The sequence below is a fragment of the Homo sapiens genome, chromosome 12, assembly GCF_000001405.40.
Source record: "Homo sapiens chromosome 12, GRCh38.p14 Primary Assembly".
NCBI classification, from domain to species: Eukaryota; Metazoa; Chordata; class Mammalia; order Primates; family Hominidae; genus Homo; species Homo sapiens.
The window spans coordinates 82,479,255-82,503,156 of record NC_000012.12 but is presented as its reverse complement, the minus strand read 5'-3'; positions in this window follow the sequence as shown (position 1 = coordinate 82,503,156).

The window sequence follows — 23,902 nt, the reverse complement described above, 5'->3', positions numbered from 1 at the left end:
CCCATGTTTGTTGCATCATTACTCACAAATAACCAAGATACAGAAACCACCTAAGTGTCCATCAGTGGATGAAGAGATAAAGTAAATGTGGTGCATATACACCATGGAATAACATGTAGGCTTAAAAAAGGAGGAAATTCTGTCATTTTCTGTAACATGGATGAACCTGGAAAACATTATGTTCAGTGAAATGACAGGCACAGAGGTGCAAATACAGCATTATCTCACTTATATGTGAAATCTAAAAAAGTTGAGCTCATAGAAGTAGAGTAGAATGGTTGCTACCAGAGGCTTGGGCAGTGGGAGGGTGAGGAAAGGGGAAATGCTCGTCAAAAGGTACAAAGTTTCATTTATAAAAAGTTTTAGTGGTCTATTGCACAGCATGGTAACCACAGGTAATAATATATATTTCAAAATTAATAAAAGAGTACATTTTAAATGTTCTCACCCCAAAATATAGTTGAAGTGATAAATGTTAGTTTGCTTTAATCATTCCACAGTGTATACATATATAAAAACATCACGTTGTACTCCATAAATATATATACTTATTATTTGTAAAGTAAAAATTAAAACAAAACAAGACATTGTAGGGGCTAAACAAAGATGTTGTGATCCTTTGAAAATGGCAAGTCATTTTATCCACAGAATGGATTGTCTGACAGAGAAATATCTTTCCAATCATGGAATTCGTAAGCATTTCACATGTGCCAAATGCGCACCTGATAGTTTTGTTACCTGAGCAGTGGTCCATTCATGAGTCCCTTTCCATGAGGAACATGTTCTCTGCATTCTTCCTACATGTCAGAAGCAAGGCAACATACCCCCTGCGTTGGAGCAAAAGCAAAGAATAGCCATCCTGGCAAACATGGAGCTATTTTCTATGAATCTAGAAGATTATTAGAGTTTGGTACCTTTCTGTTTTTAAAAGGCTAAGCCACCTGTGAGTGGCCTCATAAGCGTCTACATGTAACAAAACAAAACAAAACAAAGAACACTGGTCTTGGAGTCAGAAAATCTGGATCACCTTGGGCAAATCATGTACATCTTTTTGACTTCCACTGTAGAGTGGGAATATTTTACTTACAATGACATATGTACACCAAAAGCCATGGAAGCTTAAAGGAAGGAAAAATTATGCCTGCTAAGGTTAGTTGGGGAAGATTTCTAGAGAGAATGACATTTAAGATGGGTCTGGAAATGTGAGCACAGCATGCCAGGAAGAAGGTAAGGAAAAGGGTTTCACTTGAGATAAGTATGCAACAGCTACTACTTGGGCTGAGGAATTATCATACCACTTACCACAGAGACAGAAAGTGACCATCTGAGGTCCCTCAGGGGCTTTGTTTGAAAAACCAAAAATTCAGAAGTACATGTCTTCACCTTGTTGTCCTTCCCCAATGGACAAAACATGTCCCTCCAATCATCTAGCCTTCTTTATGCTCTAACTGTACTGCTCTGTTCTTCCTTCTTCTCACTCACTCCCTTACTGCTGCCATCCTTTCCACTGAGGTCCTCTGGAAGTCCCCATTTAGAGAAAACCAACTACCCTACACCATCTACCTTTTTACCATACATGTGCTTCCCTGAAGTGTGGCTAGCTCTCCAGGCACTTCTTCTCCTGCCACTCTCTCCAGTGCACAATGCTTATTTTTCTCACAAGACCTGGACCACAAGGAGAAGCTGGGAGGCTGAGGGGAAGAGAAAGGGGCTAGGCTTCTTCTTGGTCCCTATTGTTATTCCTCATCCTTAATCTCCACTGTTGAATAAAAGAACCCCATTTGAGGATGTTAGGCAGCTATAGAAGTTGCCATTATTTGTCTTCTACTAAATTCTCAATAAGATTCAGCATTTGTCTATTGTCAACTGCCATCATTTACCTAAATTAACTCTTCTGAATAACACATTTTTCAAGCATGTTTTCCTCTCTAGTCTTCCTCAGTAACTATTTGAACATTCATGTCTGAAACAATAATTATAAATCTTGAGCTCAAATTTTCCTATGGGTTCTAAGTTGTGTATCTTCATTTGGTGTCCCATATCCAATAGATACCACATATCCAAAACTGAGCATTCATCCTCCCAATTCCCAAGCAACCCCTTAGCCCTTTGTCCTTCCTGGATTTTCTGCCCCAGTAAATGGCTGCATTACTCAGCTAGCAGCCACTCAGCTTGGTGTGTATCCTAGACTTCATTTTGTCCCTCTCTTGCAATATCAATCAGAAACCAAGTCATAATAATAGTACCTCCTTGACTTTTCTCACAATTTTTTTTCCTTGTTCATTTCTGCTTCCTCTGTCTTAATCCAGGCATTATCACTTTTCCTTTAGGTTTTTGGAATAGGCTACTAATTGCTGTCCTAACCCCCACATCAGTTCTGCTCCAATCCATCATCTAGCCAACAGTCAGTGTGATTTTTCTAAAATAGAAATACAATCATATCACTCCTTTATTAAACTCCTTCAGTGGATCCTATGGCTTGAGAGGAGATCTACCTCATTAACATGGCAATCAAGGTCCTCTATGTCCACAACCCTGTCAATCTCTCAGGTCTTAGCACTACAACCACCATTCACATTGATCTATTTTCAAGCCCCTATGGGTGTTTTTGTAATATGTTTTTGTAATAATTGTTGCTAATATTCATTGAGAAATTTCTACATTCAAGACTCTGTATTAATGGATCTATTCCTTCTCACAACCCCATGTGGTCAGTTACTGTTTTACCCCCAGTTGACAAATGGAGAAACTGAGACACAAATAAGTTAAATAATTGACTAATGTCACACAGCTAGTAAGAGACAAATTTGGAATTTGAACTCTATCAGTCTCAATCTAGAGTCTATACATTTAACCACTACTTATAGTACTATCATGCTGTCCCTTTTTCTGGATGATCCTTCCTTCTTTCTTCACTTAGCTTGCCTCATACTTACTCCTATTCCATTTAATCTGGCTTCTGTTTCCATCATAACTCTGAAAAAATCTCTCACAAAAATACCAATGATGAACTCTGTATTAAATCAGGGTTCTCTAGAGGGACAGAATTAATAGGATAGATGTATATATAAAGGGAGTTTATTAAGGAGTATTGACTCACACAATCAGAAGGTGAAGTCCCATGATAAGCCTTCTGCAAGCTAAGGAGCAAGGGAAACCAGTCCAAGTCCCAAAACTTCAAAAGTAGGGAAGCAGACCATCTGTAGCAAAAAAAAAAAAAAAAAAAAAAAAACAAAAAACAAAAACCCTGAGAACCCCTGGCAAACCGTTGGTGTAAGGCCAAGAGTCCAAAAGCTGAATAACTGGGAGTCTGATTTTCCAGGGCGGGACACATCCAGCACAAGAGAAAGTTGAAGGCCAGAAGACTCAGCAAGTCAGCTTATCCCACCTTCTTCTGCTACCGCTGGCAGCCTATCAGATGGTGCCCACCCACATTGAGCGTGGGTCTGCCTCTCCCAGTCCACTGACTCAAATGTTACTCTCCTTTGGCAACACCCTCACAGACACACCCAGAAACAGTACTTTGCATACTTCAATCCAATCAAGTTGATACTTATATCACAAACTCCAAAGGGCATTTTTCAATTGTCTTCTTACTTGCTCTCTAAAATGTTTTCAAACATTGGTCACTCCATAGGCCCTGGCATATTCTCTTCTTTGGTTTATGTGATGATATGCTCTTGGTTTTTGTACTTGAATTTTGGATGAACTTTCTCAGCCTTTCTTGTCAGTCCTTCTCTACAGAACCTTCATACTGGAGTTATTCCAGATTCAGTGATAGTTTCTCATTCTTCCCTTCCTATGCTTTTTACTCTGAGTGATATCATCTATATCCTGACTTCCATTTCCATTTATATGTTGGTAACTTCTAAAGGTGTATCCAAGCTTCCCCTTTGTGATAGCACTACTTTAACATCGTTTGAATGTCTCAAAAGCATCCTAAACTCAACATACACAAAATAGGAAATTTGAAGTTTTTTCTCAAATATTACTTTTTAATATACCTTAGCACCACCTTGTATGTAGCCAAACAATCTAGAAGCTATTATAGGCCATCAACCAAAGAGCTCTAGGAACATATCTGTAAGTCCATGTTAGATTTATTTAGCTTACTGCTGCCAGTAAGAATGCACTCCAGAGAAACCATGGGTTGTCCTAGTAAAAGAGAGTTTGCAGGAACTTCTTACATATGATTTGGCTTTGAATTGCATGGTTGAAGGCTGGATTTTAAAACATGGAGTCCAGTTCTGTACTGGATGTTCTTAAGAAGCTGGGATAAGTCAGTAAGTGGACTTATTTTTTTTTTTTTTTTTAGTCTGGGAGGCAGGAGAATTAAAGTGGGCCCAGAGTAGTTACTAGTAAAAAAGTAGCAATCACTAATGTTAATCAGAAGAGAGGATGTTAATCAGATGAGAATAACGTCTGTCTTGTTTCAGACATGTCATTAAGTGGTCTTGTCTGAACATTTTCCATAATTGTTATTTATTTTGAGTTTTAGCATCTTCCGGTTTTAGCTAGGTAATTTTGGGAAAAAAATGACTTTAACTTTCCAATATAAAAATTAGAGCAAATATCTATTATTATTTCAAACAGAAAATTCAAAATCAACTTATATATGATTTTAGTTGTACACATTTTCCTAGTAAGACTTTTTTTAGGTTTCTATCTAAGAAAAAGTCAAATATTATTTTACCCATTTGTAAAATTCGTTCTATTCCTTGGCAGATTATGAGACCTACCTATTTGGAGGCAGGGCAACCAAGGCATCATCAAGTTCTTGAGGTCTGTAGGGCTATAGGTCCAGTAATATCTTGCTTTTCTCAAGAGGAAATGGAAAAAATAGAAGACCAACACAGAAGACCCTTAATTAAGTGGTAAGGGAGTATCTGTAGTGGTTAAGTGGTTAAACTCTCAAGACAGAATGCCTGAATTTAAATCTTGATTTTACCATTCAATTGTTCTCTCTAGCTACTCCTACTTGGAACAAGGTGCCTGACCTTCTCTGTATCTCAATTTCCTGCAGCAGAAACAAAATCATCCCTTCCTCTTAAGATTGTTGTGAGGATTAAATAAATTAATAAATATAAAGTGCTTAGAACAGCACCTAACACAGAATAGGCACTCAATAAATATTTAGTTGACATTATTATTATAATCCATCATGCCATTTGGAGTTTAAAAAACCTTTTAAAAATTGAGTCGTTGCCAAGGACACTGTGTATGAATGGTATGTATGTGTATAAGAGAAATATAAAGTTGGAGTCACCTCTAAAATTTTTAAAACAGATCTGGCCACTCAAGAAGACTCCTTCAGAGAAGGCTGCTCAGTTACCAGCACACTTGAGAATAGTGAATCTGGAATTATGTTAACATATTGGAACTTTCCATGGAGTCTGAAATGGTGAAACAGCAATTTAAATTGTAGACTTTCAAAACTGTCAAAAAAAATTGATGATGTACTCCTGCTTGCCAGGAAGGGGCTTATGCAACACCTTTGGGCTGAATATAAGAGGCCAATAAAAATGGAAATTCTGGGGGGAATTCCATGAAATCTGTAATTGAAGTGGTCCCATTCTTCTATTGCTGTCAAGCAGGCCATTTTGACATCTATTAACTAATATAGGTAAGTGGGGTACTTTTTTTTTTCACTATGACATTATTTTAAATTGAGCTTCTGTGTCTGTTCATGATTTCACTTAATCTATACGCTTTTTGCATTTACTAGATTAGAGGTGGATCCTTTGGGACAGAGTAAACACTTTGCAAGACAGATTAAGTTATGGAGTGTTTAAAAAATTATATATATGGGGTACATAGAAAATACTATGTATGTGTTTGGTTACTGGTCATTTGTGCATTTTGGGTAACATTTTTGAATTAAGTTTATTGGCACATTTATGTAAAAGACTTCATTTATTTGAATCAATTTCTGTCAAATCTTTAGTAGATTACTTGTCTATGATTTCTGGTATTTTTATGTACAAATATCTAAGCAGTAGAATATTCAAAGCTTGCATTTCGTTGTCATGAAGCTGTCTATGGATCCTGTGTTTAACCATTAATAATTTCCCAAGCTGGGAGCTGTTATGAAGAACAATATAATTAAATATTTTAAATATATATATTTAAAAATGGAAAATTTCTGGGAATATATGCTCTGGGACAGTAACTAATTGAAGAAAGGGAATAATGCTTTAAGCTCAAGGTATTCACAGCAGTCTTAGCATTCAACAGCAAGAAATCAGAAACAACCTAGAGATCTAACAACAAAATTATGGTAAACAGTGTATGTCTCATTAGGATGGAGTCTTAAAAATAATTATCATGAGGGTGATGTAGAATCATAAGAAAATGCTTTTTATATAATATTAAGTAAAAGATTATTTGTAAAAGAATATTAAGTAAAAGATTTGTAAAAGATCATTACGTAAAAGAATATTAAATGATATGTTCATTATTAAGGCAAATATAAATAATGAATGTATTTGAATCAAATGAAAAATATCTTTTCTTGGTGGTGGGACTATGAGTAATTTAAATATATTTTCTTCATTCTTTCAACAAAAAGAGAAAAAACGAAGAGTTTAAAATGGCATGACCATATTATTCAAGAACCAATTTCCTTACTCATTTTTCATGGATTTGTAAAAATGACAGCTTGTATGTTAAGGTAATTTGAGCTTTGGACCAGTAACCTGACTTCTTTGCCTCAGTAAATTCACTGTATCCTGATTTTCTTAAAATTCTGTGTAAATTCCAATGCCAATTGCTTTGCTACCTTTATTAATATAAAAAGAACCCATGAGTGAAAAGACAGCAGTAATCAGAGAGAAACAGAAAAAGCACAGAATTTGGTGTGCAGAGTCTACCAAAAAATTATAAAGTCCTTTTAAAGAGCTATGTTTTCCAAACTGCAATATATATTTATAGATGCTAGAGTTTTTGATATATAGATAATACAAAATTTTTTAAAAATTTATTTTTTTAATGACAGATGAAATTGTATGTATTTACTGCATGCAAGATGATGATTTAAAGTATATAAATGTTGCAAAGTGATGAAATATAGCAAATTAAAATATGCATTATGTAACATAGGTATCCATTTTTGTGGAATGAACACCTTACATCCACTGTCAGCATTTTTCAAGAATACAGTATCATGTAATTATATATGTCTTAAACATATTACACTTGACTTGTGCAATAGATGTCTTAAGCTTATAACTCCTACCTTCCTGAATTTTTCTGTGCTTTGACCAACATCTCCCCAACCAGCCTGCTGTCCCCACAAACCAGCCCAGCCCTGGTAGCCACCACTGTACTTTCTACTCCTATGAGATCAACCTTTTTAAGATTCCACCTATGAATGAAATCATGTGGTGTTTGTTTTTTGTATCTGTCTTATTTCACTTAACATAATATCCTCCAGACTCATCCATGTTGTTGCAAATCATCACCATTTTTCATGGCCGAATAGTATTCCATTATGTGTATTTACCATATTTTCTTTATTCATTCATCCATTGATGGACACTTAGGTTGATTCTGTATCTTGATTATTGTGGAAAATGCTGCAATAAACATGGAAGTGCAGATATCTCTTCAACACACTTATTTCTATTCCTTAGGATATATACTCAGTAGTGGGATAGTTGGATCACATGGTAGTTCTACTTTTAATATTTTTGAGAAAACTCCATATCGCTTTTCATAATGGCTGTACTAATTTACATTCCTGCTCACTGTGAGAGTTCCTTTTTTCCACATCCTACTCGATACTTGTTATTATTTTTAATAACCTTTCTAATAGGTGTAAGGTAATATATCATTATGGTTTTGATTTGTATTTATCTGATAATTTGTGAAGTTGAGCATTTTTTAATATACCTCTTGGCTATTTGTATGTCTTCTTTTAAGAAAATGTCTATTCAGGTCCTTTGCCCACTTTTAGATTGGGTTATTTGTTTTCTTGCTATTAAATTGAGCTCTTTATATATTTTCAGTGTTAATCCTTTATTGAATGTATAGTCTCCAAATTTCTGTAGGTGGTCTCTTCACTCTGTTGATTGTTTCCTTTACTGTGCAGAAGCTTTTTAGTGTGATGTTTCCATGTGTCTATTTTTGCTTTTATTACCCTTGAGATCATATCCAGATTATCATTGGGCAGACCAATGTCATGGAGCTTTCACCTCACATTTTCTTCTATTAGTTTCATAGATTTGGGTCTTACATTTAAGTCTCTAATCCATTTTCAGTTGATTTTTATATATAATGTGAGATAAGAGTCTAATTTCATTCTTCTGCATGTAAATATCCAATTTCCCCAGCATCATTTATTGAAGAAACTGTCCTTTCCTTACTCTGTGTTCTTTGCACCTTTGTTGAATATGAGTTGTCTGTAAATGTGCAGATTTATTTCTGGGCTCTGCATTCTGTTCCATTGGTCTATGTGCCCGTTTTTATGCAGCACCGTGATGTTTTGGTTACTGTAGCTTTGTAGTATATTTTGAAGTTGGGTTGTGTGATGCCTCTTGTTTCATCTTTTTTTTTTTTGGTCTTTTTTTATTTTATTATTATTATACTTTAAGTTTTAGGGTACATGTGCACAATGTGCAGGTTTGTTACATATGTATACATGTGCCATGTTGGTGTGCTGCACCCATTAACTCATCATTTAGCATTACGTATATCTCCTAATGCTATCCCTCCCCGCTCCCCCCACCCACAACAGTCCCCGGTGTGTGATGTTCCCCTTCCTGAGTCCATGTGCACAATGTGCAGGTTTGTTACATATGTATACATGTGCCATGTTGGTGTGCTGCAGCCATTAACTCGTCATTTAGCATTAGGTATATCTCCTAATGCTATCCCTCCCCCTTCCCACCACCCCACAACAGTTCCCAGCGTGTGATGTTCCCCTTCCTGTGTCCATGTGTTCTCATTGTTCAATTCCCACCTATGAGTGAGAACATGCGGTGTTTGGTTTTTTGTCCTTGCCATAGTTTGCTGAGAATGATGGTTTCCAGCTTCATCCATGTCCCCACAAAGGACATGAACTCATCATTTTTTTATGGCTGCAGAGTATTCCATGGTGTATATGTGCCACATTTTCTTAATCCAGTCTATCATTGTTGGACATTTGGCTTGGTTGCAAATCTTTGCTATTGTGAATAGTGCCACAATAAACATACATGTGCATGTGTCTTTATAGCAGCATGATTTATAATCCTTTTGGTATATACCCAGTAATGGGATGGCTGGGTCAAATGGTATTTCTAGTTCTAGATCCCTGAGGAATCGCCACACTGACTTCCACAATGGTTGAACTAGTTTACAGTCCCACCAACAGTGTAAAAGTGTTTCTATTGCTCCACATCCTCTCCAGCACCTGTTGTTTCCTGACTTTTTAATGATCGCCATTCTAACTGGTGTGAGATGATATCTCATTGTGGTTTTGATTTGCATTTCTCTGATGGCCAGTGATGATGAGCATTTTTTCATGTGTTTTTTGGCTGCATAAATGTCTTCTTTTGAGAAGTGTCTGTTCATATCCTTTGCCCACTTTTTGATGGGATTGTTTGTTTTTTTCTTGTAAATTTGTTTGAGTTCATTGTAGATTCTGGATATTAGCCCTTTGTCAGATGAGTAGGTTGCAAAAATTTTCTCCCATTTTGTAGGTTGCCTGTTCACTCTGATGGTAGTTTCTTTTGCTGTGCAGAAGCTCTTTGGTTTAATTAGATCCCATTTGTCAATTTTGGCTTTTGTTGCCATTGCTTTTGGTGTTTTAGACATGAAGTCCTTGCCCATGCCTATGTCCTGAATGGTATTGCCTAGGTTTTCTTCTAGGGTTTTTATGGTTTTAGGTCTAACATGTAAGTCTTTAATCCATGTTGAATTTATTTTTGTATAAGGTGTAAGGAAGGGATCCAGTTTCAGCTTTCTACATATGGCTAGCCAGTTTTCCCAGCACCATTTATTAAATAGGGAGTCCTTTCCCCATTTCTTGTTTTTGTCAGGTTTGTCAAAGATTAGATAGTCGTAGATATGCGGCATTATTTCTGAGGGCTCTGTTCTGTTCCATTGGTCTATATCTCTGTTTTGGTACCAGTACCATGCTGTTTTGGTTACTGTAGCCTTGTAGTATGGTTTGAAGTCAGGTAGCATGATGCCTCCAGCTTTGTTCTTTTGGCTGAGGACTGACTTGGCAATGAGGGCTCTTTTTTGGTTCCATATGAACTTTAAAGTAGTTTTTTCCAATTCTGTGAAGAAAGTCATTGGTAGCTTGATAGGGATGGCATTGAATCTATAAATTACCTTGGGCAGTATGGCCATTTTCATGATATTGATTCTTCCTACCCATGAGCATGGAATGTTCTTCCATTTGTTTGTATCCTCTTTTATTTCACTGAACAGTGGTTTCTAGTTCTCCTTGAAGAGGTCCTTCACATCCCTTGTAAGTTGGATTCTTCATCTTTTAGTTCAAGTTGACTTTGGCTATACAGGGTCTCTTGTGGTTACATAGACATTGTAGGATTGCTATTTTCTATTTCTGTGGAAATGTCATTGGCATTGTAATAGAGATTGCCTTAAATCTGTAGGATGCTTTGGGTAGTATGGGAACTTTAACAATATTAATTCTACTCATCCATGAACACAGAGTATCTTTCCATTAACGTGTGTCTCCTTCAATTTGTTTCATCAGTGGCTTATGCTTTTTAGTGTAAGGGTCTTTTAACTCCTTGGTTACATTTATTCCCAAGTATTTGATTTTATTTTGCTATTGTCAATGGGATTGTTTTCTGCATTTCTTCTTCATATGGTTCTTTGTTGGTATATATAAATAATACTGATTTTTGTATGTTAATTTTGTATACTACAACTTTATTGAATTTGAATTTATTTATTCTAATAGTTTTTTTGCAGAGTCTTTAGAGTTTTCTATATATAAGATCATGCTGTCTGGAAAGTGGGATAATTTACCTTCTTCCTTTCCAATTTGTATGCCTTTTATTTATTTTTCTGTTGCCTAATTGCTTTGGGTGGGACCTCCAGTATTATAATAAATAGGAGTGTTGAGACCGAACATCCTTGTCTTGTTTTGGATCTTAGAAAAAAGCTTTCAATTTTTTCCACTGAGTATGTTAGCTGTGAATTTGTCATATACAACTTTTATTGTATTGATGTACATTCCTTTTATACCTAATTTTGAGAGTTTTTATGATTAAAGGATGTTGAATTTTGTCAAGTGTTTTATCCATATCTATTACAATGATCATATGGATTTTGCCCTTTATTCTATTAATGTGATGTATCACATTTATTAATTTACATATATTGAATGATCCTTGCACCCCTGGGATGCATACCACTTGATCATGATGAATGATCTTTTTAATGGGATGATGAATTTGGTTTGCTAGTATTTTGTTGAGGATTTTTTGCATCTATGTTCATTAGAGATATTGATTTCTAGTTTTCTTTTTTATAGTATCCTTGCCTGGCTTTGACATCCGAGTGATACTGGCCTTGTAAAATGAGTTTGAAAGCTTTCCCTCCTCCTCGATTTTTTTCCAAGAAATTGAGAAGGATTGTATTAATTCTTCTTCATATGTTTGGTAGAATTCAGCTGTGAAACCATCACATTCTGGAATTTCTTTGATGGGACACTTCTTACTGATTCAATCTCCTTACTCATGTTTGTTCTATTCATATTTTCTATTTCTTCATAATTCAGTCTTGGCAGTTTGTATGTGAAAAGGAACTTATGCATTTGTCTTAGGCTTATATGATCTCATGTATTTTATTTCAGTTGTGATGCCTTTTTCATTTCTGAGCTTATTTATTTGAGTCTTCTCTCTTTTTACTAAGTCTAGCCAAAGGATTGTTGATTTTATCTTCTGAACTCTTAGTTTCATTGATATTTTCTACTGTTTTTCTAGTTTCTATTGTATTTATTTCTGCTCAGATATTTATTATTTTCTTCCTTTTACTAATTTTGGACCTAGTTTGTTCTTGTTTTTCTAGTATATTGAGGTATTAAATTAGGTTATTTATTTGAGATATTTCTATTAATGTAGGACTTTGTCACTATAAACTACCCTTGTAGACATTTTGCTCCATCCCATAAGTTTTGGTATGTTGTGTTTCAATTTTCATTTGTCTCAAGACATTTTTTAAAAAATTCCCCTTTTATTTCTTTTTTAACCCACTGATTATTTAGGATTATTTAATAAATATTAATTAAAATAAATTTTGATTATTTAATTTTCACATATTTGTGGATTTTCTGAGGTTCCTCCTTTACTAATTCTAGTTTTATACCATTGTGTTCAGAAAAGATGCTTGATATGATTTCAATTCCTTTGTAACCTAACATATGCACTAGCCTGGAGAATGTTCCATGTATGATTGGGTGGAACGTATATTCTGCACCCGTTGGAAGGAATGTTCTGTATATGTCTGTTAGATTCATTTGATCTAAAGTGCAGTTTAAGTCCAATATCCCCTTATTCATTTTACGTCTGGATGACCCGTTCATTACTGAAAGTGAGGTAATGAAGTGCCCTGCTATTTTTTGTGCTGTGGTCTCTCTTTTCAGATGTATTAATATTTGCTTTATATACTTCAGTGTTCTGATGTTAGGTTTATATATATTTACAAATTGTTATTTTTTTTTGCTGAATTGACTCATTGTATAATTACTTTCTTTGTTGCTTTTTAGTTTTGGACATAAAGTCTATGTTTTTGATATAAGTATAGCTACTTCTGTTATATTATGGTTTCATTTGCATGCGATATCTTTTTCACTTTCGGGCTATGTGTGTTCTTTTAGATAAAGCACGTCTCTTACAGGCAGTGTATACTTGAGACTTTTTTTTTTAAATCTATTCAGCCACTCTATGTCTTCTGATTGGAAAATTTAGTCCATTTATATTCAAAGTAATTACTGATAGGTAAGGACTTACTACTAGCATTTTGTTAATTGTTTTCTATTTGTTTTGCAGATGCGTTGTTCCTTACTTCCTTTCGTGCTACCTTCCTTTGTAGTTCAGTAATTTTCTCTAGTGGTATGTTCTGATTCCGTTTTACTTTTTGTGTATCTACTGCAGGTTTTTTGCTTTATGGGATAACATGAGATTTACCAAAAAATCTTATGACCGTGAAAGGTTATTTTAAGCTAACAACTTAACTTTGATCACAAAATACCTCTACATTTTTACCCCTCTCTCTGCCACCCATTTTGAATTTTTCATGTCAAAATTTATGTCTTTTCATACTGCATGTTCAGCATCCTTTTCATTCAGCTTGAAGAACTCACTTTAGCATTTCCTGTAAGACAGGCCTGTGGTAATACACTCCCTCAGCTTTTGTTTTTCTAGGAAAGTCTTTATCTCACCTTCATTCCTGAAGGACAGCTTTGCTAGGTACAGTACTCTTGGTTCAGTTTTTTGTTTTCTCCCTTCAGCACTTTGAATATATCATCACACTTTGTCCTGGCCTATAATGTTTCTGCTGAGAAGTCTGTTGATAGACATATTAGAACTCCCTTATATGTTACTCATTTCTTTTCTCTTGATACTTTTTGTCTTTGATTTTTGATAGTGTGGTTATGTCTTGTGGTAGTCTTATTTGGATTGGATCTGATTGGAGACTTCTGGCCTCCCAGTACCTGGATGTTTACAGCTTTCTCTAGGTTTAGAAACTGTTCCGTTACTATGTCTCTAAATAAGCTTTCTACCCCGTTTATCTTTTCTTCTGCTTTTATACTTCTATGACTTGAAGCTTTGCCCTTTTGAGGTTGTTTACAAGTTCTGTAAGTTTTCTTCATTCTTTTTTCTTTAAATACGTAAAACTGTCTTTATTTGGAAACAACATGATCATGTGTATAGAATAGCCCATGAAATGTATCATTATGCTTCAGAAAAAACAATTAAAACGCTAGAGTAAATGGGGAATGAATGAAATAGTTTAAGGTATTACTGCTCTTTCCCTAGGTGTAAATGAATGTTTTGATATTAATGATCTATAGCACCAATTTAATAATAAGTTTATCGTTCTGAGGGCGGAGATAAGTGTAAAAGCACCTAGTACAGTGTCCAGCTCATAGATTTTCAATGAAGTTTTGGTGGGATTGAATATGTGTTACTTGATCCGAAACACATACACCAATTTTTGAAAAGCTGTAGAGATTTAGTCTCCTGTTTCCTGTCTTTTGGAGATGGCATTTTTATTTTGGTGCCAACAAATAGCTATCCTATACACCTTATTAATTTGCATTTTGTACAGAAGTTAGAATCTAAAAATGAGGACATACATTAAATGTGTATATGATGGGACTTCACTAGTCTACTATAATCTTCAGAAGTTCTACAACAACAGGACATTTACCTAACTTTAAACGAAGCTTAAGAGACTTAATTTTATTTTAATAATAAAAGAAAGTTAAGGAAATTTATGTTGATTTACCCCTACTTTGTTAAAGTTAGAAGCTATGTTATTAATGGTAACAATATTAATTCTTCTCCAAGCATTTACTACCAATGTATTAGAATGAAAACACATTACCAATAACCACATTAAAAAAGTAGATATTAAAACTGTGCTAGATATCTAAAAGTATGAATCACATTTTTAAGAACTTCAAACCTGGCCAGGCGCGGTGGCTAATGCCTGTAATCCCAGCACTCTGGGAGGCCGAGGCAGGTGGATCACCTGAGGTCAGGAGTTCTAGACCAGCCTGGCCAACATGGTGAAACCCCGTCTCTACTAAAAATACAAAAATTAGCCAGGCGTGGTGGCAGGTGCCTGTAATACCAGCTACTTGGGTCAGGGGGCCGAGGCAGGAGAATCGCTTGAACCCAGGAGGCGGAGGTTGCAGTGAGCCGAGATCGCGCCATTGCACTCCAGCCTGGGAGACAAGAGCGAGACTTTGTCTAAAAAAAAAAAAAAAAAAAAAAAGGAACTTCAAACCTGTTTATCTGCAAGCTAAACAACTGTGCTTGCTATTAATGAGAGAGAAGTTACCTATGAAATAATTTATCTTGCAAAAGCCTTCAGTTCTTACACCCTAAATATTGATCCTCAAAATCTTTAAAAATCATTCTTTAGTTCAGTATAACATGCTATTAAGGATGGATTCCTAAACTTTCTAAATTAAGTATAAGCTAGTAATGTGAATGCAAATGTGGACTCTTTAAGGCATTACTTGTATACACAGAACAATGTCTAACATCCTACAACATTAACACTAAACCCTCCTTTGATTTCTATTTTTTTTTAGTTCAATCCTTTTAAGTGGAAGTAGAACACTAATACTTTTTTATGATTTAAATTCTGTCGTTTTTTCCTTTATTCAGTGGTCTACCTACACAGAATTATATTATCTACTAAAATTAGAAATATTCTGAAGCCACCAAAACACTAAATATTTCTGTTGTTATAATCCAGTGGTATCTGGAGTTGTTTTATCTTGCTCTTGAGACACACTATTTGAATATACTTTGCTTGATGGAAAAACCACCATTCAGATGAAGTATTTTTCTTAGAAAAGTTGAAGCAATATTAGAAGATTTTGCCTTTCCTGAGAGGGCAGCTAAATCACAATACATGTGCAGTTACTTCAACATGATCATCTGATGGACACAAAATCCCATGTTGACCAAATGGAAGGCAATGTGGTACATTTTAGGCTGGAACTTCATAATTTCTCTATTTTTCTAAAATTGACTATGTTTGATCATAACTTAATGCAAGTTAAGGGCTTTTCCTCCCATGAGATTTAAATACATGCTACTTTGTTCTATGCTGACATGTGTTAACTCTTTTTTGCTGGATTGTGCATTTGAGAATTCTAATGAAAACAGTATATTTTTTAAACAAGGCCTTCCAATGACAAAATATTTGCAAACTAAATAAGGCAAACTACTGAGATAAATACATCAACTAATAAATTATGATAAACATATAGCCAGTAGCCAAGTACAAGCCATCCAGGAAGGTGTGGGAGCTTGGAGTTCCTTTGGTCACAGGTTAACCACAGCACATATTTCATATAGAGGATTATTTCTTAAACAGTCCTTCTCCATGAAAATAAGCCATTGTACTGAACACACTGAAAAACAACATGAAGGAAACTATGAGTAATGCACCATACTCACAGTTGGCAACAGAAGTGAACAGTACTAGGACATAGTTCATTGTAAAAGATCGTGTGTTCATGTAGCAACTAATTTTTTTCTCTTCTCAAAGTCATTATCTAAATCTTAACTCTTCCATATACCTATCATATATGTTTCAATGACTAGATTATAAATGCTTGAAATTAGGAACTGTCAAAGTTCTTAAAACTTTCTCCCCACCTTTAGTGTCTAGCATGGTCTTTGTCACAGGGCAGCTAACTAACAGATGGTGATCGATTAAATTATATGCAACATCAGCAAAGTACTTTCATTGAAAGGTAGAGACTTAATAAAGAATTAATTGCAAATTCAATTAAACAGTCACATTTCTTGGGATTCACTTTCCTTCTTGAGGCAGTTTTGCTATATTGCATTTCTTTTAGAAATTTTTTCCATTTCATACAAATTTATACATCTACCATAAGAGTTGCTCTAATTTCTGTAGGATCTATAGTGATGTTCCCTTTTCAATTCCTGATATTGTTTAAATGTTCTATTTAAAAGAATTGTAAGTTTTGACAGAGTTGTTTCAATTTTGTTAGTTATCTAAGAAGTGATTTTTGAATGCATTCATCACCCCTGAATGTGTTTTTCTTTCATTAAAATCATTTGTCAGTACTTTTCTCATATTTGTGACAAAAGTAGTACTGCAATTATAGCATTTTAGCTCAGAATATAGGTTTTCATACATAATTTTCCATTATGATTCCATTCAATTATTTTCATTATTATTCACTTCAAAATATTTTGTGATGTCTACTGTGATCTCCTTGGCTCCCAAATTTCACTGTACAATTTTAAAATTGAAAGCAAATGAAGATTTTCTACTCATTTTAAAGCATTGTTTTTTCAGCTTCAATACATTGTGATCGAAGACTATACTGTACATGATGTCAATCTTTTGAAATGTATTGAAATTTGCTTTAAAGCCCAACACATAGTCAAATTCCTAAAAGTTCCATATGTGCTTAAAAAAATTATGTAGTCTGTAGTAATTGGGTACAGTGTACTGTATTGGTCCATTAGGCTACTTTTACTTATTTCATTGTTCAGATCTTATATGCTTATAATTTTGTTTGCTTTTTCCATATGATAGCTAGGAACATAAAGATACTTCTGGAATGACTGCAATTTATCTATTTCTCCTTGTAGTTGTGTTAATGTTTGCTTCACATATTTTGAGATTATGTTAACTGAATATGTTAACTAAATTTAGAATTATTATATCTTCCTGAAAAATTGAAACTGTTTTCATTATGAAGGCTGTCTCTTTAAGAGTTGCGTAAAGAGGAGAAGGCCTGCAACAGTTTGTAATCTGGACTAGGGCTGTGAGGGCTGCCCTGCCCAGATGGCACTGTCAAGCCAGATGGTCCCATGCCCCAGCGAGGACTCCAATGTTCAAGGATCTTTGATGTGTGGGGCTTAGAACAGGGGGCCCTGCTTGCCCACATCTAAGTGTGATAAAGATTCTCTGTCTCCCAAGAACAAAAAGAGCCATAAAAGACAAAAAGAAACATAGAACAGGCAGAACATATAGAAAACAAATAAAAGAATGGCAGACTTAAATTCATATATATCAGCAATTCCACTGAGTTTAAATTAAATCCTTCAATTAAAAAACAAAGACTGACCTGAAAAACTAAGGTCCAACAATATGTTGTTTAGACGAGACGTATATAATACATGTAAGTACAAAATATTCAAAATTAATAGAAAGGAAAAAGGCATATTTGCAAATATTCATCAAAAGGAAGCTACATCAAAATCAAAGTAGGCTTTAATATTTTAATTAATATTGGACAAAAGTATCCTTTTTTTGTATTTTTAAAAAATAATTTCAACTTTTATTTTAGATTCAGTGGGTACATGTGCAGATTTGTTACATGGGTTTAATGCCTAACACTGCGGTTTGGAGTGTGAGTGAGCCTGTCACCCAGGTAATGAGCATAGTACCCAATAGGTAGTTTTTCAACCCCTGCCCCCACCCTTTCTCACCCCTCTTGTAGTCCCCAGTGTCTGTGGTCCCCATCTTTATGTCCATGCATATCCAATGTTTAGGTCCCACTTATAAGAACATGTGGTATTTGGTTTTCTGTTCCTGCATTCATTTGCTTCAGATAATGGCCTCCAGTTGCATCCATATTGCTGCAAAGGACATGATTTTATTCTTTTTTATGGCTGTGTAGTATTTCATGGTGTTTAGGTACCACATTTTCCTTATGCAATCCACCATTGATGGGCACCTAGGTTGATTCCATGTCTCTACTATTATGAATAATGCTACAATGAACATATGAATACAGCTGTCCTTTTGGTAGAACAATTTACTTTCCTTTGGGTATATACCCAGTAATGGGATTGTTGGGGCAAATGGTAGTTCCAAGTTCTTTGAGAAATTTCCAAACTGCATTCCACAGTGGTTGAACTAACTTAAAGTCCCACCAACAATGTATAAGTGTTCTCTTTTTTCTGTAGCCTCACAAGCATCTGTTGCTTTTTGACTTTTTAGTAATAGCCTTTCTGACTGGTGTGAGATGGTATTTAATTGTGGTTTTGATGGACATTTCTCTGATGATCAGTGATGTTGAGCATTTTTAAATATGTTTGCTGTTGGCCACTTGTAAATCTTTTGGGAAGTGTCTGTTCGTGTGCTTTGCCCACTTTTTATATGGTTGTTTGTTTTTTGCTTGTTGCATTAAGTTCCTTATAGATTCTGGATATTAGACCTTGGTCAGATGCATAGTTTGCAAATATTTACTACCATTTTGTAGGCTGCCTGTTTATTGATAGTTTCTTCTGTTGTGCAGAAGCACTTTAGTGCAGTTAGGTTCCACCTGTCAAATCTTTTGTTGAAGTTGCTTTTGAGGGCATAGTCATTAATTCTTTCCCCAAACCAAAGTCTAGAATGGTATTTCCCGGGTTTTCTTATAGTATTCTTATAATTTAACGTCTTATATTTAAATATTTAATCTATTTTGAGTTCATTTTTATGGTGAAAGTTAGGGGTCTAGTCTCATTCTTCTGCATATGGCTAGCCAGTTATCCCAGCACCATTCACTGAATACGAAGTCTTTTCCTTATTACTTGTTTTTGACAACTTTCTCAAAGATCAGACAGTTACTGGTGTGTGGCTTTATTTCTGATTCTCTATTCTGTTCCGTTGGTCTATGTGTCTGTTTTTGAACTAGTATCATGCTCTTTTGGCGACTGTACCTTATAGTATAGTTTGAAGTCAGGTAGTGTGATGCCTCTGGCTTTGTTCCTTTTGCTTTGGATTTGTCTATTCAGGCCCTTTTTTTGGTTCCATATAAATTTTAGAATACATTTTTCTAATCCTGTGAAAAATGACATCGGTCATTTCACAAGGATAACATTGAATCTGTAGACTGCTTTGGGCAGTATAGCTGTTTTAATGATATTGATTCTTCCCATCCATGAGCATGGGATGTTTTTCCACTTGTTTGTATCATTTACAATTTCTTTCAGCAGTTTGTAGTTCTCCTTGTAGTGATCTTTTATCTCCTTGGTTAGATGTATTCCTAGGTGTTTTTATTTATTTAGGTGCCTATTGTAAATGGGATTGCACTCTTGATTTGGCTGTTAGTCAGCTTGAACATTATTGGTGTATAGAAATGCTACTGATTTTTGTACATTGATTTTGTATACTGAAACTTTCCTGAAGCCGTTTATCAGTTCTAGGCACCTTTTTGTAGCGTCTTTAGGGTGTTCTAGGTATAGAACCATATCATCAGTGAACATAGCTAACTTGACTTGTTCTTTTCCTATTTGGATACCTTTTCTTTCTTTCTCTTGACTGATTGCTCTTGCCAAGACTTTCAGTACTATTTTCAACAGGAGTGGTGAAAGTGGCCATCCTTGTCTTGTTCCTCTTCTTAGGGGAATGTTTCCAGCATTTGCCCATTCAGTATGATGTTGGCTGTGCAATTTCACTTTTAAATGTAAAGAATTCTCAGCTTTTAAATGGGGATACTAAAAATCCATTTGTAAGCTGTTTAATCAGAATTTACAACACTTTTTCCTATGAAACCAATGTTATAAATATGGTTAAGTTCACATTTTAGTCTCTCTAGAAAATTTAGCAAACACAACTATTACTTTTACACTATGCATTATGTAGAATTAAGTGCTTTACATTGAGAAATGTAAACATCTGCATCAGCATGACAGAGATACTAGGTTTAAGAACTGAAATCACCTGTGTTTATCTGATTTATTTGTTGTTGTTTTTCTTTTTTAACGGAAAACTTTGCATAGGAATAAGATTGTACCTCAATAAGTAATTTCATTGCTTCGGAAAATTCCTATACATTAATTTATCTCAATCCTCTCCACTTCTCAAAGAATTCACTTACCACGCAACAATTTACTTATCAACACTTGCTTCAAGACCCGTGCATTGCTATATATGCTAATCCTAATCTCTTCTGTCATAAACTTTTTCAAATCCCAGTTTGTTCTCTACCTTTGAACCCAGACCTCCAAATCCTATAAATATCTTCCCCTAATTTCCCCCTTGAGCTGCACTGTGAAGACTGCCAAGGCAATGCCCTCTGTTACTGCAGTGAGTTATAAAAAGCTTAGTTTTACTTCATTAGCAGCTTTTTCTGGAGGCATTTTCAGGTAGTTCAATAACATACACTTAATCTTCCTAACCATCTTAAGAGTGAGTTCTATTTATTGTTCTTTTTACAGATAAGAAAACTGGGGCACACTAAACAGTTAAGTGACTTACTCAATGATACAAAACAATTTAGCTCACATGAGTCAAAACTATACTACTACTATTACTGAGTCCCTGTTCCCTTTGGCTACTCGTTTGAAGATGCCCTTAAGAAACCTATATCCTGAACCCTTCAGTTCTGATCTTGACTATTGTAACTATTGTAATTAATACTTTTATTTTTTATCTTTCTCACTGGACTGTAGGCTCTTTGAAGACAGTGGAATACTGTTTGTCTCCATACTGTCAATGCCCAGCGTAATCTCTGACAAATGGTAGGCATTCAATAAATGTTTATAAAATAAAAGTAAATAAAACCCCACTTTACAAATGAGGCTCTGAGATGTTAAGCACTGTCATGATTTAGTTCACTCAGAATTTAATTATCAGAATTTGTGCTCATGCCTAGGCACCACATTCTTTGGCTAAACTGTAAACTAGTTCTCAAAGTGCAGTTTTTATGAGATGGGAGTCTACAACCATTGCAAAGGGATTCATGTGTACAAAGCTGCAGTCTGAAATACTCTGTTTCTTTGCTTTCTGTAGAAATGTTATCTCAGTGTGATGAATGCAGTTATGTCATGTTGATTTGATGCTTGCATTCCACATTTAACTGATTAATAAAAATGGAAACCATTAATGGATACACGTAATTTCTGACAACTGTTTAAAACATAGGGAAATTACAATCAAGTTGCCTTGCTAATGAAACTGTTGTAATTAACTTTTTTTTTTTTTCTTTTTTTTGAGACAGAATTTCGCTCTTGTCGCCCAGGCTGGAGTGCAATGATGCGATCTCGGCTCACTGCAACCTTCGCCTCCTCGGTTCAAGTGATTCTCCTGCCTCAGACTCCCGAGTACCTGGGATTACAGGCATGTGCCAGCACGCCTGTATTTTTGTATTTTTAGTAGAGACGGGGTTTCACCATGTTGGCTAGGCTGGTCTGGAACTCCTGACCTCAGGTGATCCGCCCGCCTTGGCCTCCCAAAGTGCTGGGATTACAGGCATGAGCCATCGTGCCCGGCCTGTTGTAATTTCCTTCTCTATACTAAAAGGTGTTTTATACATATAAAGTATTTTTCTTTATTATAATGAGAAATAAATCTTATAAAAATATTTGGGTACCAGGAAAGGATTTTAAATTTTTACATAGAAAATTATAAAAGAAAAAAGTTGGCTGAAAAGGTTTTCTGCTCCTGAAATAGTTACTCTTATAGTCAACAATATGAGGAAATCACAGCATGCTGAAACAAGGCGGCTACATTTAGAAGAATGCAATGGACAAATTGAAACTGAGGGGGATTCTTAGGCAGTCAGTATGAATATGACAAATGAACTCACAGTCTGGTTCTTTTCTTTCTTCCTGTTTTCCATCACTGCCATTGGCTGCTAAGACCATTTAGATGAAGGTTAATGGGAAAACTTTATATTGAATAAATAAAACAACTGAAGCTGCTGATCAATCTTAGTATCACTAAATATGGAACAGCCAAACAAGATGTGTCTCCTGATGTGATGCAATAGAAAGTACGTAACACTAACGATGAAGTATTTTTGCCAAAAGACAAAAATAAACAAACACATAATAATAACTTAACTCTCATAAATTTCTAGATCTACCAGCTTTTAGGAAATACTTGGGATGGGTGTATTAAATGGCTCTCTGAGGGTATCATCAGGTAAATCTAGAAATTTATCCTACAGAATCTATCTGTATTTTATAGGATAAATTACCTGGTTTCTTAAATAAATAAAAATGATATGAAATTTTAAAGCTGGAGGGGAAACCATCATATATTTAAAACAACCTAAGAGACACATCAAGCAAATGCAAATGTGTTAAATTTGTTTAGATTCTGAATTGAAGAAACTGATATAAAGAATTTTTCAGCCAACTGCAGATATATGAATGGGGACAATTATAGATGTTATTTTGAAAAAACAAAACAAAACCCCATAACTGTTAGAAATAACGAACTCCTGGAATTTGCTTTAAAATTCTCCAGCTAGGGTATGTGTGGGTGGGGTGTGCATGTTCATGTTTATGTGTGTATAGATGAAACAAAATTGGTAAAATGTTGATAATTATTCACTTTGTGATGAGTACATGGGGATTCCTTATACTCTACTCTCCACTTCTAGATATGTTTGAAATTTTGCAGGAAAAAAAAGCTTAAAAATGGCTTATTTTCTAAGCATTGTACTCTCTCTACAAAGAACCTGATTATCCAGGTTCTTTGTACTCTCTGTACAAAGAACCTGATCACCTGAGGCTGTAAACTCAATATTTATATTACAATACAAATAAATATAATTATTCTTCTTAATCGTGGATAGATGCCAACATTTAAAAAAGCAGTTCCTTTTTTTGCTTTGGAAAATTTTATAAAATCTCTCTAGTTGAGGATCAAGGAAGCTTTATCCCAGTTCTTCATCTCTTTGGTATGCATTAGAATCCTCAAGTTTTCTGCTAATGAAAGGAACTTGTTTCACAATGGGCAGAGTGTTGGCCTCATTCCATTGACTCTTGGTTTACTCAGATTGGCTTTTTACAGAGCATAAAGTAATTACATTAAGTGCCAACCCATCACTTTATTTTAGTAAGATAAATTGCCTCAAGAATCCCTAAAGAGAATATCTTACTTATAAGATACAACTTTCTTTAAGGGAATATCCCATGTACTTAGATTAAAACCCAGTGTAAAATGTGCTTTAAATGAGGCACTTTTAAATTTCTGACCTGGTTCCTGGGTATTTCTTCCCTTTAAGTGCAGATTTTTTCCCTCCTGGTAAAAACAGAAAAACCCTTCTAAAATGTGGAAGAAATTGCAAATGATCTTCCGCACCAGCTACCTTTACCTCTTATCTACGTTTAATTCAATACATCAAAATGTGATTTGTAGCAAATGTAAGGGGTCTTAAATATTGAACAGGAATTAAGACGTAGATTACAATGTTCTACTGATGTACTAACTCAGG